Raw genomic sequence first — 18557 nt, forward strand, 5'->3', positions numbered from 1 at the left:
CAATTTATAGCTTCTTTCCAAAACCTCATTTTTAACCTGCATGTATTTGAAGACTTTTCGACAGATCCATTAAAATAATGAAACAATTTACAAATGTAATCTCTTGGAACAGAGAAAGGAACTCTTTTCTCAGATTGGAGCTATACATATGACTTTATCCATGTCACTCTACTGTACTCAAATCACATAGTGGTTTTCCATAATTCTGATGTGTGCTTTCACTTATTGTGACACAGCATTATTTTATTTTTAGTCAACCATCTTTCTATATCAAGCATCTTTATGAAAGCATAAATAGGTCACTAATTGTTTTCATTTTCACTGAATAATTTGTTTGCATTCTCATACTCCATTAGGCCTATATAAAGCATACAAACATTTTTTTCATCATTAATGAATGTATAAGCCTTTATGCCTAACTACATTAAAAATAGACATGAAAATTTTAAACAAGTGATATATTGGAAAAGAACATACTGCTACAGGATAAAAGAAAATAATTTCAACATATGTTACAGAAAATTTTTTAATATTCATGTTTTATAAAGAGTTCCCCAAAGGAATAATTTTTTTACAACTTGTAAGTAGAAACATATGGCATACAGATGTAATAAACATTTCACAGGAGAAATATAGGTGATCAATATTATGCACTTGTCACTAATAATGAAAACAAGGAGATACCAATTTTATCAGATTAGCAAAAGTTCAAAGGATTAAAAATAACTATTTTTTGCCTGAGTATGGGAAAGTGGACACTCTAATACATTGTTGAAATATAAATTTGTAGAAATCTTTTGGGGGGCAAATATGAATATAATCTTTGCTCACTTCCATTACTGAAACTCCATTCTTTAAAATATTTATAGATGTGTTAGAAAAAGTTGTATAAAGATAGAGGAAAATATACACCAAATTGTTAATAGCGGTTATCTCTGAGAATGAGGGAAGGAGGCAGGGAAGGTGATGAGGGGAGTCTTTGACTTCTTATTTGATATTTGAAATTGTTGTATATTGTTTTGAAATTGTTTTATAATTGAAAGTAATTAAGAAAATTAACGGCTGTCTCCACCGTGTAAAATTAATGTTGTTCTTATGTACATCATAACATTGAGTGGGTTTGCGTTATCGTACTGTTAACATGTGATAGTAGAGAGGTCAGAACATTTAAGTACCCTAGGTAATTAGTTTGTGTATAGTGTAGTAGTCTCCAAAGAAAGGAGGGGATGTTGGGAGGCCGAGGTGGGTGGATCACCTGAGGTCAGGAGTTTGAGACCAGCCTGGCCAAAATGGCCAAACCCCGTCTCTACTAAAAGTACAAAAATAAGCTGGGCATGGTGGTGGGTGCCTGTAATCCCAGCTACTCAGGAGGCTGAGGCAGGAGAACTGCTTGAACCTGGGAGCGGAGGTTGCAGTGAGTCGAGATCGCGCCACTGGACAAGAGCGAGACTCCATCTCAAAAAAAAAGAAAAAGGCCGGGTGCAGTGGCTCACGCCTGTAATCCCAGCACTTTGGGAGGCCAAGGCAGGCGGATCACGAGGTCAGGAGATCGAGACCATCCTGGCTAACACGGTGAAACCCCGTCTCTACTAAAAATACAAAAAATTAGCTGGGCGCGGTGGCGGGCTCAGTCCCAGCTACTCTGGAGGCTGAGGAAGGAGAACGGCGTGAACCCAGGAGGCGGAGCTTGCAGTGAGCCGAGATGGCGCCACTGCACTCCAGCCTGGGCAATAGAGCCAGACTCTGTCTCAAAAAAAAAAAAAAAGAGGGGATAGCGGTCTATACACCACAAGAGAAAGTGAAATGAACAATTAGGGTATGTGCAGAAAATGTTAGAACATCTGTTCATATTCAGTTTAAATATCATTTTTTTCCTGCTCTTTTTAAACATACTGTTGTAAAATAAAACACAGACAGGTATGTATATCTTACTGAATTACTGTAAGGCAAACATCCTTGTAACTACCACCTAGTTCAAGTGGTAGAATGTTGCCAGTTACTCCAGAAACCTTTTCCCAATAACAGCTCCTTCCTACATAGTATTTTTTTTTAAATAATTTTTATTACCCAAATGTGCCTTGGTAGAAACTGTAGCTTGGTCTTGCTGTTGTTTAGTTATTTTATTTGACTCACAGTAACTGAGATCTCTCTTTTTAATCTACAGGTTGTTGCTTCTTCTCTTGTGCTTAGAATTTACCTGTAAAGCACTGGATTATTTTACCTGTAGTTTCTTACAGTCTGGATTTTACTTGATCACATATTCATAATGTAATTCAACATAATTTGCTGTCCTCTCTATTTCCTGCAGATTGGCAGCTTAATCTAGCAGCATGTTCAGATTCAAGATTGATGTCTGTTATGTTCTTTTTTCAGGTGGTGCATAATGCCTGGGTTTTGCTCTTATTCTGTGCTAGCAGCCATTTATGCTGGATGCCTAGATCCATTAATTTATTGGAAGCAGCAAAATGGAGATATCCTAATATATTTTTGTTTTTATTTATTTGCTGGAATGATTTTATAAAGGGTCGTTTTCTTTCTTTTACTATTCAGTTACCCAGTGGTATAGTTCATATAGAAAACACATGGAAAAGAATGTTTGATTCTTTTCCTTTTATTTACCTGGTTTTCAAGGTAATGAATATGAAGTGGTGGATTAGATATTACTGATAAGATTTAATACAGTATAATTATTCTCCTTATTAAAGCTCAAATTAGCCCATCTTTGGTCACCAGTGGGGAGTGTTCTTCTTTTGGCTCGTAAGTTTTGTTTTTGAAACAGGGTCTCACTCTGTCACCCAGGCTGAAGTATAGTGGTGCAGTCTCGGCTCACTGCAACCTTCGCCTCCTGGGTTCAAGTGATTCTCCCACCTCAGCCTCTTAAGTAGCTGGACTAAAGGTGCACACCACCACACCCAGCTAATTTTTGTTTTTTGTTTGTTTGTTTTTGATAGAGACGGGGTTTCACCATGTTGGCCAGGCTGATCTCAACCTCCTGACTTCAAGTGATCCACCTGCCTCAGCTTCCCAAAGTGCTGGGATTACAGGCATGAGCCACCACACCCAGCCTCCTAAGTCCTTTTGACATGATCTTGGTCTAGCTTTGATAGCTTTTATGCTATCTAGTATTTTTAAGATGTTTTGCCACAGACATGAAATTAGCCATTTCTCCAAGAAGCCCTTTTAATGGAAAATGATATTTCAAAAATCTCAGTGTGGGTGCTAAGGATGCTTATTCCTACTGGGTTGGTCATTGTTTCTAGGCTTTTTAAGTGAACAGAGTTGGGCATTTGCTAGTTTCTATATCTATATTGAGATACACAGAATATTTTGGTTCTTAGGGCTCAAAGAATTCTACAATTCACATATCCTATAATTATTTACTTGCTTCATGCTATCCTGTAATTAAAGATAGTACTTATAATTACCATATCAGTTATTACTAGAACAATGAAAATTTTTAACTTTATCTCCCATTTTCTTTCTTTTTTCATAGTTGCTCTGAATTTACATTTTCAAGCCATATAGCCACTGCATGTTATAAATTCTCCCCTTTAATTATCATTTAATCATAGTTCCAAAGATAACTACATAGTTAAAGCTCATCACAAATCTTTATAATCTGATTGTGTATTAAACATTTTCTAGTAATATGACTGGCTAAGTGTAAGCATAAAATTACCATCAGAAATCAAATAACGTATTTGATAAGTAGGCTCTTTGGAGGAGTGTGAAATGATGTAATTGTTTGTTGATGTTCCAAGTACGATCCACAGACTGTTGCCAGTCTGTAAACTGTAGTTGGTCCGTGAAGAGACACATGCAGAAATTAAGTGTAAGATTTAGCTACTTTTATAGCAGTCTGACATAAAGCATGTTAGTGTGTTTTGCAAAAGCATCAGTAGCTGACAGATTGGAAACTTAAACAACAAAACATAACTGGTCCTTTTCCACATGTAGTTTGAAAGACACGGTTACACACAATCTCAGCCCTTATCTCTACAATAATTAGGTCTTTCAGATAAGTGGTTTAAGAAACAGATAAATATGAGAGAAACATGTAGATGTGGGCTAATAAAATTTTTACTGAGAAGATGGATGTAAGCTAGACTTTGGTTTGGTTTGGCTTGATTTGGCAGGGAGATATGATCAGAGATATGAGAACATTTTTAACACGGAATTGTGGGCACACAAAACATATCATAAAAATGGCCTGGCTAGAGTAGAAGATTTTTACCAGTTAGGGAGGAGAGATTAAATGGGAATAGTTGTATAAAGGCCTTGGATCCCAAGCTAAACAGCTAAGACATTTTCATACAGACAATAATAGGGAGCCATTCATGCTGCAAAAGAGTACAAGGTACTTTTTTCAATGCCTACGAGGTACTTTTTTCTATGCCTAAGAATCCAATAAATAGCTCTACTCTCTGTTACTTGGGTTCTAGTGAATAATTTATTTATTAGATTTATAGTACAGTATTAATAAGTGATATGAAGAAAAGCAAAATAAGGTATTTTAAATTAAGGTGGTCAAAGTGTATTTTTCTAGACATTGGAATTAATAACATTTGTGTCCCTGAAGGCTATAATACTTGTTCTCTCGTTTTATCTTACCCAACTCTAGGAATGCCTTGGGAACTGCCCCTTCAGTCTAGATATCTATAATTTAAAACTTGAGTTCCTACATATTTCTGAATATGTTATTTTTTAAACTTGTTTTTCTACTAACATTGTATCTTGATTGGCTTCTCTGTTTATTGGGTTTGGTATATCTCTCTAATGGTATTAGCTTTCCACAAATACTTGATGATTTTTGGTTATGTACTGTCTTTTGTATTTGTGATTTCTGGTTCACTTGGTTGCGAATGCTGTTTCTCTTTACTGTAGCCTGCCTTATGTGATGGTTAAGGTGGGAAGGAATACAAAGCCAGCTACAATGTGCCTATAGTTTGCCTCTTTCAGTTTGGGGTTCTCCATTCATTCCTTCTGAAGATTACCCTTAATTCTAAATTTTTGGACCTACTGTCCACAATTGCTGTTTTAGACAGGCTTCACACTTTCATTTCCTATAGTTGAATCCAGTTGGAGTGGGATTATGGGACTGTTCGGAGTTAATTACCACAGCTGCTCCCTACCTGATTATCCTGACAGTAATTTGCAGGCCTCTCTTAATTATTTTATCTATGGTAACTGAACTCGTACCTGAAAATTTCTTTTCTGTTTTTTACCTCCACATAGAGCAGTCTCTTTCCTACGTAGTTTGGGCTGTGGTTTTATGAATTTTTTTTCCTCTCAGTAAATCTAGTCTTACCACTTTATATCTTTAAGGATTCCTCAAAATGTCTGGTCCATTGATAACATATGTTCATATGTTATAGATTGTTTTTAAGTATTACAGATTCTTTTGCTTTATGTATATCTTCCCTAATGTATATCTTCTCTAATGTTTTATGAGGTTGGGAGCAGATAGGCTAATAGGAGTATATATTTACCCTTGCATCATTTAGGCTCAGTCTTAACATCTTGATCCAAACTTCTAATTGATGTCCTTTAAAACATGCTTTTTAATACTCTGATAATAGTGTACTAAAATAATGTTGATTATTGCTAGTCAAAGGCAGCCATGCAAATTAATATACACTGTTGCATTTGACCATTTATGTATTACCTTACCTAACAGATTAATAAGATTTTATTTCATTAGAAGTTATTGATACTATAAAGTATTTGTTCTAGGAAGACAATGATAAAATCTAGTTTATATTTTATTAATAAGTTCTATCTTCTGATTAAATGAATGGTAGGTGGTAAAAGCGTGCCTCCTGTATTAGGTTACTTGTAGAATCTTTTAAATAAAGAAGCAAAATGGTTTCAAGGTAAATTAGCATCTAAGAAATGTATTTTTATTCTACCCATTCTCTCATTAGTGTAGGTTAGCTATTCAAATTGGGTCATTTAGTTTGAAAACTCTCACTCATTCTTCAAGGCACAATTCAAATGTTATTCTCCGGGGTCTTCTAAACTCTCTAAGAATTGTTCTCTATTATATACTCTCATGATGTTTCTAATGTATTATATTAGTTATAGGACGTCTCATTATGTTGTAAATATTGCTTTATTGGGTTCCTTTTCACCAAACTCTGAATTCCTCCATGTTTTATTCATGTTTGTGATGTTAGCATCACAGTTACTTAGTAAATGGATTGTAATACTTTTAGGAATGGTAAAATGAATACTAAGGAAAAGGTCTCTGATTTCTGAATTCTTGGTTCCTATTCCAAAGAGTCAGTTCTAGTCATAAATTGTGGGAAATCCTGAGATCCATTTTACTTTAGATTAAAGAATTTTAATAAGACATTTCAGTTTGGTTTAAAATTTGTTCTTTATTTTTATTTGGTAATAAGTACCATTTGGGTTTCTAATTAGTATTCGGTTCTTTGCAACCTTTGAAAATGCAATGTTTAGTTTTAAAAATAGAATCCTATTTTTAAAATATATCTCTAACAAAGCCCATAAATTTAGATTTATCATGTTTTTATTCATTTTTTTTGAAGGATCAGAGTAACAATGAAATTATGATTGGAGTGATGTCAGGAGGAATTCTGATTTATAAGAACAGGGTACGAATGAATACCTTTCCATGGTAAGAACATCTATTGATACTTTTATGTTTACCACTGTATTACTAAATATAATAATTTATATTAAAGGCAGTGGCTGTTGAACTATTTTAATGTTGTCATTTTACTTGTGAGATAAACTTTATACTTTATCCCACTTAGTTAGCACCTACCAGAAGACACCAAAATGGTTTATTTCAAAATTACTTTTTAAAAATTATTACTTATGAGTTTTTCTTTTATGGAATTTTTGAAAGATGATCAGAGCTTTCCAGTCTTTTTAGCAGAGATTTGCCCCCAGGGCAAATTGTTTTACCAGCATCTAACCAATATGGGTTTTATCAGAGTTTAACCAAAGTAGGAGAATGGAAATACCCAATTTAGACCCCTCCTGCTTTCTTGTCTCACCTAAGGAGGGGTTGACCTGAGAAGCACCGAAGATCGCAGCCAAGAGGCACAGACCACTAAACCACTAAGACCTAATTACAGGATGAAAGAATGATTCCTCCCTGTCCCACACCTTACTGCCACATCAACATGGCTCATAAATAATAACAGGGAATCACAACTAAAATAACTGTAAGGCTCAGATTGTTTAGGAGTCCCTTAGGGAAACCTGAAGACAGCAAGGATGTGAAAAACAAAGATAGAGAAAATTACAACCTCTGACACCTACGGTTTGTACACAAACATTAAACATAGTCTTATGCCTTGCCAGGTCTACATAAAACTTCACACCAAAGGCATATTTATTTCTTTCTTTTACCCAGTATATCATATCCAGCATTTAGCAAAAAATTACAAGACGTGTCGAAAGGCAGTAAACACAATTTGAAGAAACAAAGCAAGGATGAGAACCAGACCCAGATATAGAAGAAATTTTGGAAGTATTATACCAGAAATTTAAAATAACTGTAATTAATATACTAAGGGAAAAGTATATGGAAAAAGTGTGTAACGTACAAGAACAGACGGAAATGTAAGCACAGAGATGGAAACCTTATGAGAAAGAATTAAACAGGAGTGCTAGAAATAAAATGCATTGCAACAGAAATGAAGAATGCCTTTGGTCTTATCGGTAGATTATACACAAGAAAAAAATGAGTGAGCTTGAAGATATGTCAATAGAAACTTCAAAAACCGAAAAGTGATGGGAAAAAGGAATGAAAGAACAGTATTTAAGATATGTGATGGGAATAAAGAGAGAGAAGATCAGAAGAAATAAATATCTGAAAAAATAGTGGCTGATAGTTTTCCAAAATTCATGACAGCCACCGAATCACAGATGCAGAAAGTTCAGAGAATACCTAGCAGGTTAAATAACCCAAAAATCCACACTTACACACTATCATAGTCATGCTGCAGATAATCAGAAAATCTTTTAAAAAGCAAAGCATAAAAAGCACATTTAACCTAGAGGAACAAGGTAAAAAATATGTTGTATTTCTCTTCAGAAACCATGTAAGCAAGAAGAAACTGGAGTGAAATATTTTGGTTAAAGTGTTGAAAGAAAAAACCCACCAACCTGGAAGTCTGTAGCAAAGTTATCCTTCAGAAGTGAACGAGAAATAAAGACTTTCACACACACAAACAAAAATTGATTGAATTTGTTACCAGTAGACCTGCCTTGTGAGAAATGTTAAAAGAAGTTCTTCATAGAAAAGGAAAATAATATAAGACAGGAATCTGGATCTACAGAAAGAAAAGAAAGCAGAGAGGGGACTTCAAGATGGCTGACTAGAGTCACGGAGGCACTTGTGTCTTCCACAAAGAAGGACCAGATCAGCAAGTAGATAAACACACAATGAATAGGACATTTAAAAGAGAACAGAAGAATTCAACAAGGAAGTGACAGGGAACCTCTGAGACACAGAAGGAGAGGGAAGCAAAGTAGCCAGCCTAGCCAGGATCACCTGAGAGCCAGGAGGAATTGCCCATTGCAAGGAAAAGGTAAGCAAGAGATCCTCAATAGTTCACATTTGCACCAAAGATTACTGCAGTCCTTCTTATATGAGAGAGGCCCTTGACCCTCATGGGCCGTGAGACTAGCATAGGGAGCTGCCTGAAGTCCACACCATGGCATTGTTTCAGAGAGGGAGTTTGCACTCCCTCTACACACCCCCTAAGACCCAGGCAGTTGCAACACAATGCCATTTTGAGAGCTCAGACCCCATCAGAATACATCCTGCAGTGAGGCCCAGTAGCTCCTGCATTTCCCCACTGACAACCCTCCATGTCCACACAGAGGGCTGCAAAGTTGCAAGACTTAACTGCACCCAGGATACAGCTAGGTCCTCGAGACTGTATCTCGTGCAGTGTCCTTCACCCTGGGGAATGGGCAGTGCAGTGTGCCAGGGAGGCTGTACCTGTCATAAAGGGAGATGAAGCATGTGCTCACCACAGCCTCAGAGTTGCCTGCACAGGGACATTACCATTGACAGCAACTCACATCCTCCGGCAGCAAGACCACTGTACAGCTGCATGTGCCTTTGGGGGGCTAAGTAAGGACTGGCCTATCTGAGCACACCTTCCAGGGACATTTATATGCCCTGTCCACCGTCACCAGTGATAACATCAAGGGCCTGAACAGAGGACCATCCCAGCTGCTGGCACCTGTATATGTTATTCATGAACCTAGAGATTGACCCACTTAGAACTGTGAGGGCCCTCACGTGACATCCAAGGGCCTGACGATAGATGTGCCTCGCCCTCAGCTACCACCTCCAGACACTGTTGGAGTCTAGGCATTGGCTGGCCATACCTGCAGCTGCTGACACACACACACACACACACACACACACCTTTCAGGGGCTCAATAATGGACCTACCTTGCCTGCCACTGGCACCTGTGGGCACTTCCCAGGGGCCCAGGGACTGGCTCGTCCACCCTGCCTCTACCACTATTGTCCCCCACATGCATAGCTCAGGACCCCAAGGGATAGCCCACTGATACTGCTGACACCATGCATACCACCTGGAGACCCAAGGACTGGCATGCCCAGCCTGCCATCACCACAGCTGGTGCCCATGAACCAGCCTACCTGGCATTTCCATCCCCAATACAGCTTCACCACAACCTCTACACCCTAAGCCACTGAGGAACTCACAGACACCTCTGACACTGATTAGAGCCAAATAAATAATGTGAAGACTATGCTACTGCACCCATCCAGAATCAAAGCCAAAGCACCCTATCCAGCCAACACTATAGGTACATCACAAGAAAAAGTTTGTTCCTATGACAGCCAATTCATAAAATTGGAAGAAGCACCTGTTACACCAGATGTGCAGATATCAACGTATAAGGACAGAAGAAATAAATGCCTGAAAAATAAAATAATGATATTAAAGAAATGCAATGATATATGACAGCTTGACAATACAGAGATATCAAGAAAACCATTCATAATCTGAATGAGAAATTCAACTGAGAGATATTTAAAAAAAAAAGCCAACAAATTTTGGAACTGAGTTCAGTGAATGAAATAAAAAATACAATAGAAAGCATCAACAATAGACTAGATTAAGCAGTAACAATAATTTCTGAACCCGAAGACAGGTCTTTGGAAATAACCTAGTAATTTTTTAAAAGGCTAAAAAAGCCTGAATGACAAATGGAACACTGTAAAGCAGCCAAATATTTGAATTTTGAAAATTTCAGAAGAGTTGGGCAAAGGCATAAAAAAAAAACCTATTTAAGAAAATACTAGCTGAAAGCTTCCCAACTCTTGCAAGACGTAGAGACGTTAAGATACCAGAAGCTCAAAGAACCCCACAGACATTCAACCCGAAAAGGTCTCCTCCAAGGCACTTCATAGTCAAATTTTTAAAAATCAGAGACAGAAGTCTAAAAAGAGCAAGAGGAAAGGATCAAGTCACACATAAGGGAATCTCCATCAGACCAATGGCAGATTCCTAATCAAAAACCTTACAGGCCAGGAGCGAATATGGTGGTATATTCAAACTGCAGATAAACCAGTAGAAATGCTGACTGAGGATACATCACCCAAGCAAATCTACCCTTCAGAAGTGAAGTAGAAATAAAGTCTTTCTGAGATAGGCAAAAACTGAGAGAATTCATCACCACTAGATGGATCTCACAAGAAATGCTTAAGGGAGTCCCTACATCTGGAAGTGAAAGGATGCTATGAACTATCATGAAAACACACAAAAGTATAAAATTCCCTGACAGAGCAGATAAGATATATCTAGAGTAGATGAGAAAAAGAAAGGAGTCAAAGGTTATTACTACAAAAAAAAAAAAAACAAATAATCAAGGGAAACAATAAGAGGATGAAAGGAATAAAGGATGTACAAAACAATCAGAAAACAATTAGCAAAATAACAAGAATAGATCTTTACTTAACAACATTGAATGTATATGGTTTAAGTTCCCGTTAAAACTTAGACACTGGCTGAATGGATGTAAAAAAAGAAGACCGAATTCTATGCTACCTACAAGAAACTCAACTTCACCTGTAAAAAGCACAATAGACTAAATGTAAAGGGAAGGAAAAATCCCATGTAAATGGAAACCAAGAGCGTACAGAAGCAGTTATTTTAGACAAAATATACTTTGTAAAAAACCATAAAAAGAGACAAGGTCAATATCAAATGATAAAGGGATCAATTCAGCGAAAGGATATAACAATTGTAAATATGTACCTAATACTGGAGCACCCAGATATATGAAGTAAATATTGTTAAAGATAGAGAAACAGACTCCAATACAATAGTAGTTGGGGACTTCAGCACACCAGATTCACCACTGGACAGATCATCTAGACAGAAAACAAACATTGGACTTAATCTGCACGGTAGACCAAAGGAACCTAATAAACATTTAAACAACATTTTATCCAACAGCTGCAGAATATGCATTCTTCACCTCAGCACGTGAAACACTCTTCAGAAAAGACCATATGTTAGGCCACAAAACAAGTCTCAAAAAAATTTTTAAATAGTAATTATATCCAGTATTTTCTCACACCACAATGGAATAAAACTAGAAATCAATAACAAGGAACTTTGGAAACTGTACAAATACATGGAAATTAAACAACACTCTCCTGAAAGACTGTTGGGTCAATGAAGAAATTAAGGCAGAAATAAAAAAAATTATTGAAACAAAAACAGCAACATAACATACTAGAACCTGTGAGATACAGCAATAGCATTGCTAAGAGAGCTATTTATAGCAATAAATGCTTACATCAGAAAAGTAGAAAGAGCTCAAATAAACAGTTTAATGATGCATCTCAAGGAACTAGAAAAGCCAGAACAAACCAAGCCCCAAATTTAGTCGAAGAAAAAGCAATAAAGATCAGAGCAGAACTAAATCAAGTAGAGACTGTAAAAATAATACAAAGGATCAACAAATTGAAATTTGTATTTTTTGAAGTGATAAAAATCAACTAACAACAAAAAAAGAAAAAATTATCTAGGTGTGGTGGCACATGCCTGTAGTCCTGGGTACTCGGGAGACTGAGGCAGGAGGATCACTTGTGCTCAGGAGTTCATCCTGAGTGACAGTGTGAGACCTGTCTGAAAAAAAAGAAAAGACAGAAAAAAACTACCAGCCAGTATTCCTAATGAATATAGATGCAAAATTCCTCAACAGAATACTAGCAAAGCAAATTCAATAATACGTGAAAAAGAAACATTTTTCACGTATCTACACGTGATCAAGTGGAGTTTATTTCCAGGATGCAAGGATAGTTTAACATACAAATATCAGTAAGTGAAATACTTTATTACATCAACAGATTGAAAACCAAAAACCATGCAGTCATCTCAGTAGACACATAAAAAGCATTTGATAAAATTCAACATCCCTTCATGATAAAAACTCTCAACAAATTAGGTGTAGAAGAAACATATCTTGACACAATCAAGGCCATAAGTGACAGTTCCACAGCTAACATCATACAGAACAGGTCAAAGCTGAAAGCTTTTCTTCTAAGAACTAAAAGAAGACAAGGATGCCCACGCTGACCACTCTTATTCAACATAGGACTGGAAGTCCTAGCCAGAGCAGTCAGGAAAGAGAATGAAATAAAGGCCATCCATATAGGAAAACAGGAAGTCAAATTGTTCCTCTTTGCAGAAAACCTGATCATAAAGAAAAGCCTGAAGACTCCACTGAAAGTCTCTTAGAACTATTAAGTGAATTCCGTTAAGTTGCAGGGAACAAAATTAATGTACAAACATCTGTTACGTTTCTGTACACCAATAATAGCTGGAAAAGAAATCAAGAACGCAATCTCATTTACAGTACCTACCAAATGTTACACTTAGGAATAAACCAAGGAGGTGAAAGATCTCTACAACAAAAACTACAAAACACTGATGGGAAAAAATTGAAGAGAACAGAAAAAAAGTAGAAAAACATCTCATACTCATGAATTAGAAAAATTAGTACTGTGAAAATGACCACACTACCCAAAGCATTCTACAGATTCAATGCAACATCTGTCAAAATATCAATGACATTCTTCACAGGCATAGAAAAAGCAGTTTCAAAATTCATATGGGTGGGGAGCCAAGTGGCTCACACCTGTAATCCTAGCGTTTTTGGAGGCCAAGGCAAGAGGATTGCTTGAGGCCAGGCATTTAATACCAGCCTACACAACATAGCAAGACCTCGTCTCTATAAAAAATATTTTTAAAAATTAGCTGGGCATAATGGCATGTATTTGTAGTCCTAGCTACTCCGGAAGCTGAGGTGGGAGGATCACTTGAGCCCAGCACTTTAAGGGTTACAGTGGGCTATGATCATACCACTGCACTTCAGCCTGGATGGCAGAGTGAGACCCTTTCTCTATTAAGAAAAAAAAAAATATTGTATGGAACCCTAAAAGATCCTGAATAGCCAAAACAATACTGAGTCAAGAGGACAAAGATGGAAGACATCAAATTATCCTGTGAAGCTACAGTATTCACAACAGCATGGTACTGGTATTAAAATAGACACATAGACCCAACAGAACAGAATAGAGAACATAGAAATAAATCCACGTATTTACAGCCAACTGAATTTTGACAAAGGCACCTAGAACATAGAGTAGGGAACAGACACCCTTTTCCATAAATGGTACTGAGAAAACTGGGTATCTATTGCAGAAGAATGGAACCAGACCCTTATCTCAGTATATAAAAAATCAGCTCCAAATGGATTAGAGAGTTACACGTAAGACCTGAAACTATAAAACTGCTAAATGAACATAGAGGAAATGCTTCAGAATACTGATCTAGGCAAAGATTTTATGGGTAGGTCTTTAAAAGTACAGGCAACAGAAAGAAAAATAGTCAAATGGGACTATCAAACTAAAACGCTTTTACATAGCAAAGGAAACAATCGACAGAGTATAGAGACAACCTATAGAACTGGAGAAAATATTTGCAAATTGTACATCCAACAAGGGCCTGGTATCCAGAATAACAAGGAACTGAACAGCAAAAGCCAGCCCAATAATTCATTTTTTAAAATTGACATTTCTCAGAAAAAAGACATGCAAATGGTCAAATTGAAGGTTTGTGGCAACCCTGCATCAAACAACTCTGTTGTTGCCATTTTTCTGCCAGCATGTGCTCACATTGTGTCTTTGTGTCATATTTTGGTAGTTCTCACAATAATTCAAAGTTTTTTATTGTGTATGTTATTGTATCAGTGATCTTTGCTCTTAGTATTATAATTGTTTTGGCATGCCACAAACCACACCCATATAAGACAGCTAACTTAAGTGATAGATATTGTATTGTTTGTTCTTTCTGCCCCACTGACTGGCCGTTTCTGTCTCTCTTCCTCTCCTTGGAACTCCCTGTTCACTGAGACACAACAATATAGAAATTAGACCAATTAATAACCCTTCAGTGGTCTATAAGTGATCAAGTGCAAGGAAGAGTTGCACTTCTGTCACTTTCGATCAAAAATTAGAAATGATTAAGTTCAGTGAGGAAGGCATGTCAAAGTCAAGATAGACCAACAGCTAGGCCTCTTGCACCAATTAGCCAAATTGTGAATGCAAAGGATAAATTTTTGAAGGAATTGAAAGTACTACTCCATTGAACACCCAAATGATACAAAAGTGAAACAGCCTTATTGTTGATATGGAGAGTATCTTAGTGGTGTGGATACATGAAACCAGCCACAGCATTCCCTTAAGCTTAATCCAGAACAAGGCCCTAACTCTCTTTAATTATGTGAAGACTGAGAAGAGAGGTGAGAAAGCTGCAGAAGAAAAGTTTGAAGCTAGTGCAGGTTGGTTCATGAGGCTTAAGAAAAGAGGTCATCTCCATACATAAAAGTTCAAAGTGAAGCTGCAGGTTATACAGAATATCTAGCTGTCTGGCTAAGTGATGAATGGCTACACTAAACAACAGGTTTTCAATGTAGATGAAACAGCCTTCTATTGGAAGAAGATGCCATCTAAGACTATCATAGATGAAGTTAATACCTGGCTTCAATGTTTCAAAGGACTGACTGACTCTCTTGTTGCGGAATAAAGTTGAAGCCAGTGCTCATTTACCATTCTGTAAATGCTAGGTCCTAAATCTACCTTACCTGTGTTCTAGAAATGGAACGTCAAAGCCTGGATGACCACACATCTGTTTACAGCATAGCTTACTGAATATTTTAAGTCCATTGTTAAGTCCTACTGCTTAGAAAAAGATTCCTTTCTGAATATTACTGCCCATTGACAATGAATGCACCTTGCCACCCATGAGCTCTGTTAGAGATGGCAAGGAAGTTGATGCTTGCTGTCACAATATGAATTCTGTAGCTGATAGATCAAGGAGTAATTTTGACTTTCAAATCTTTTTTAAGAAACATATTTTGTAAGGCTGTAGTGGCCATTGAGGATGATTTCTCTGATGGATCTGGGAAAAGTAAGTTGAAAACCTTTTGGAAAGGATTTACCATTCTAGATGCCATTGAGAACATTCATGATTCATGGTAGAAGGTCAAAGTAGCAACGTTAACCGGAATTTTGAAGAAATTGATTCCAACCCTCATAGATGACTTTGAGGGGGTTAAGACTTCAGGGGAGGAAGTAACTACAGGTGGGGTGGAAATAACAAGAGAACTATTATTAAAAGTGGAGTCTGAAGATGGGGTAGGGGATGAATTGCTGCAATCTCATGATAAAACTTGAATAGATGAGGATTTGCTTCTTATGGATGAGCAAAGAAAGTGATTTTTTGAGATGGAATCTACTATTGGTGAAGATGCTGTGAGCATTGTTTAAATGACAACAAAGAATATAGACTATTTCATGATAAAGCAGCAGCTGGGTGAAGAGGATTGACTGTTTTGAAAGAAGTTCTAGTGTAGGTAAGTGCTATCAAATAGCATTTGGCAATGTGGTCTTGCCACATTGTGGCAAGACCCTCCACCAACAAAAGATTACAACTCCTGAGGGCTCAGATGATCATTAGAATTTTTTATAAATTACTCTGATTTTTTATTATACAACTTGTTTTCATTATAGTATATCGAACTCTTAATAGACTACAGTATAGTGTAACCATAACTTTTATATCCACTGAGAAACCAAAAAATAGTGTGACTCACTTTATCACAGTATTCGCTTTAGTAGTCTGGAACTAAGCCCTCAGTATCTCTAAAGTTTGGCTGTACCAATATCCAGAATGAAAGGGGATAGCATTACAGACCCTACATACATTAAAAGCATAATAAAATCATATTGTGAGCAGATTTGAATGTTTGAATATTGATATGGTTTGGCTCTGTGTCCTGCCCCCTCCTCCACTAATCTCACCTTGACTTGTAGTCTCCATAATCCCCATGTGTCAAGGGTGGGACCAGGTGGAGGTAGTTGAATGATAGGGACAGTTTCCCCCATTGTGTTCTCATGATAATGAGTGAGTCTCATGATATCTGTTGGTTTTATAATCATCTGGCATTTCCCCTGCTTGCACTTCTCCTTCCTGCTGCCTTGTGAATAAAGTACCTTGCTTGCCCTTTGCCTTCTGCTGTGACTGTAAATTTCCTGAGGTCTCCCCAGCCAGGCTGAACTGTGAGTCAATTAAACCTCTTTCCCCAATAAATTACCCAGTCTCGGGCATGTCTTTATTAGCAGTGTGAGAATGGACTAATACAAGTACCATTAATAAATTTCACAACGTAGATTAAATGTGCAAATTCCTTGAAAGACACAAATTAAAAAATGACCTGAGAAGAAAAGAAACTTGAATAGATCTGTATCTATTAAAGAAGTTGAAATTATAATTAGAAACCTTTTGAACATTAGAACTCCAGGCCCCTTGTTGTGAATTCTATCGAACATTTAAAGTAGAAGTGAGGCCAATTTTACATAAGCTCTTTTAGACAATAAAGAAGGAACATGGTTTATGTGATTATTACCTTGATGTTAAAACCAGACTTAAGACCTTACAAGGAAAGAAAACTGCAGTTACTCATGAACATAGATGCAAAAATACCTAATAAAAGTTTAGCAAATTCTATCCAGTAATATATAAAAATGACAATTCATCATGTTCAAATGGGGGTTATTTTAAGAATATAAGGTTGCTTTAACATCTGAAAGTCAGTCAGTATAATTAACCATACTGTTATAATAACATAGAAAAACCATTTGAGCATTTCAATAGATGCAGAAAAAGAATTTGACAAAATTGACCATTCATGATTTAAAAAAATAAAGACATAGCTAACTATAAATACAAGGCACTTTCTATTTTGATTAAGGGCATCTACAAAAAATCTGCTAATATTATACAAAATGGTGAAAGTCTCAATGCTTTTTATATAAGATGAGGAAAATATATGCTTCATCTCACTACTTCTCTTCAGCTTTGTACACCAGGTCCTTACTAGTGTTTTAAAAAAAGAAAAAGGAAAAAGGAATAAAAGGCAAACAAATGGGGAAGAAAAAAGTATAATGGCTTTCCTTGTAGATAAGAATATATATATAGATTGGCTGAAAATAAAGAGATAAAAAAGGTATACCATGCAAGTAGTAAGCATTAAGGAGACTAGAATGACTGTATTATTATAATATATACAATGGTCCAACCAGTCTAGAAAACTGTTCTGTAGTTTCTTAAAAAGTTAGAAATATGTCTACCATATGACCTAGCTGTTTCACTCCTACCTGGTATTTGACCACCAGAAATTAAAGCAAATGTTTGTACAAAGACTTGCACACATGTGTTCAAAGTGACTTTATTTGTAATAGCCGAAAACTAGAAACAACTTAAATATTCATCATGAAGTGATGGCTATTTCCATCCATGTTGTGGTATATCCATAGAATGGAATGCTCCTCAGCAAAGTGGAGAAAAGATTTAGTGAAAAACACAATGCAGATGAATCTCTAAATAATTAAGCGGAGTGACAAGACAGATGAAGAAAAATACATACTGTATGCTTCCATTTATATAAATTCTAGAAAATTCTATCTGTAGGGACAAAAAGTTGGTCAGTGGTTACGTAGGCGGGATGGGTTGCTGTGTTGGAGTTCTAGAGGAGGATCACTGTGTGGCGGAAGGAATCTTTTGGAAGTGATAGATATGTTCACTATCTTGACTGTGATGATGGTTTGATAAGTACACATGTATGTCACACTTACCAAAGTATATACTTTAAATATGTGCATTTTGCATGTCAGTTATACATAATAAAATGCTTAAAAGGGAAAATGAAAAGATGCATTGGTGGTATAATGATGAGCCTAGCTGCTTTCCAAAACCATGTGAAAGTTAATCAGTAAAACAGTATAAAATAGTTATATGATTACATAATTGGCATTCCAGTAGAAACAGAAAACTTTGGACAAGTAGCAAAAAAAATTATGGTAGAGATAAATCCAAGTATGTTAATTATTATCGAAACTGTAAATATGTTGGATATTCATATTGAAAACATCAAACTGAATTTTTAAATCACTATTGATA

General features: G+C 36.4%; 1 protein-coding gene across 1 annotated transcript in view; it reads left to right on the forward strand.

Moving 5' to 3' along the window:
* PTPN4 (protein tyrosine phosphatase non-receptor type 4) overlaps positions 1 to 18557 on the forward strand; it is a 224978-nt gene that overhangs the window by 134245 nt on the left and 72176 nt on the right. The window contains exon 10 of the mRNA NM_002830.4: positions 6552 to 6640. Within this exon, the coding sequence (NP_002821.1) occupies positions 6552 to 6640 (89 nt within the window). The remainder of the gene's footprint in view (positions 1 to 6551; positions 6641 to 18557) is intronic.

This window comes from Homo sapiens, chromosome 2 (assembly GCF_000001405.40).
Source record: "Homo sapiens chromosome 2, GRCh38.p14 Primary Assembly".
NCBI lineage: Eukaryota > Metazoa > Chordata > Mammalia > Primates > Hominidae > Homo > Homo sapiens.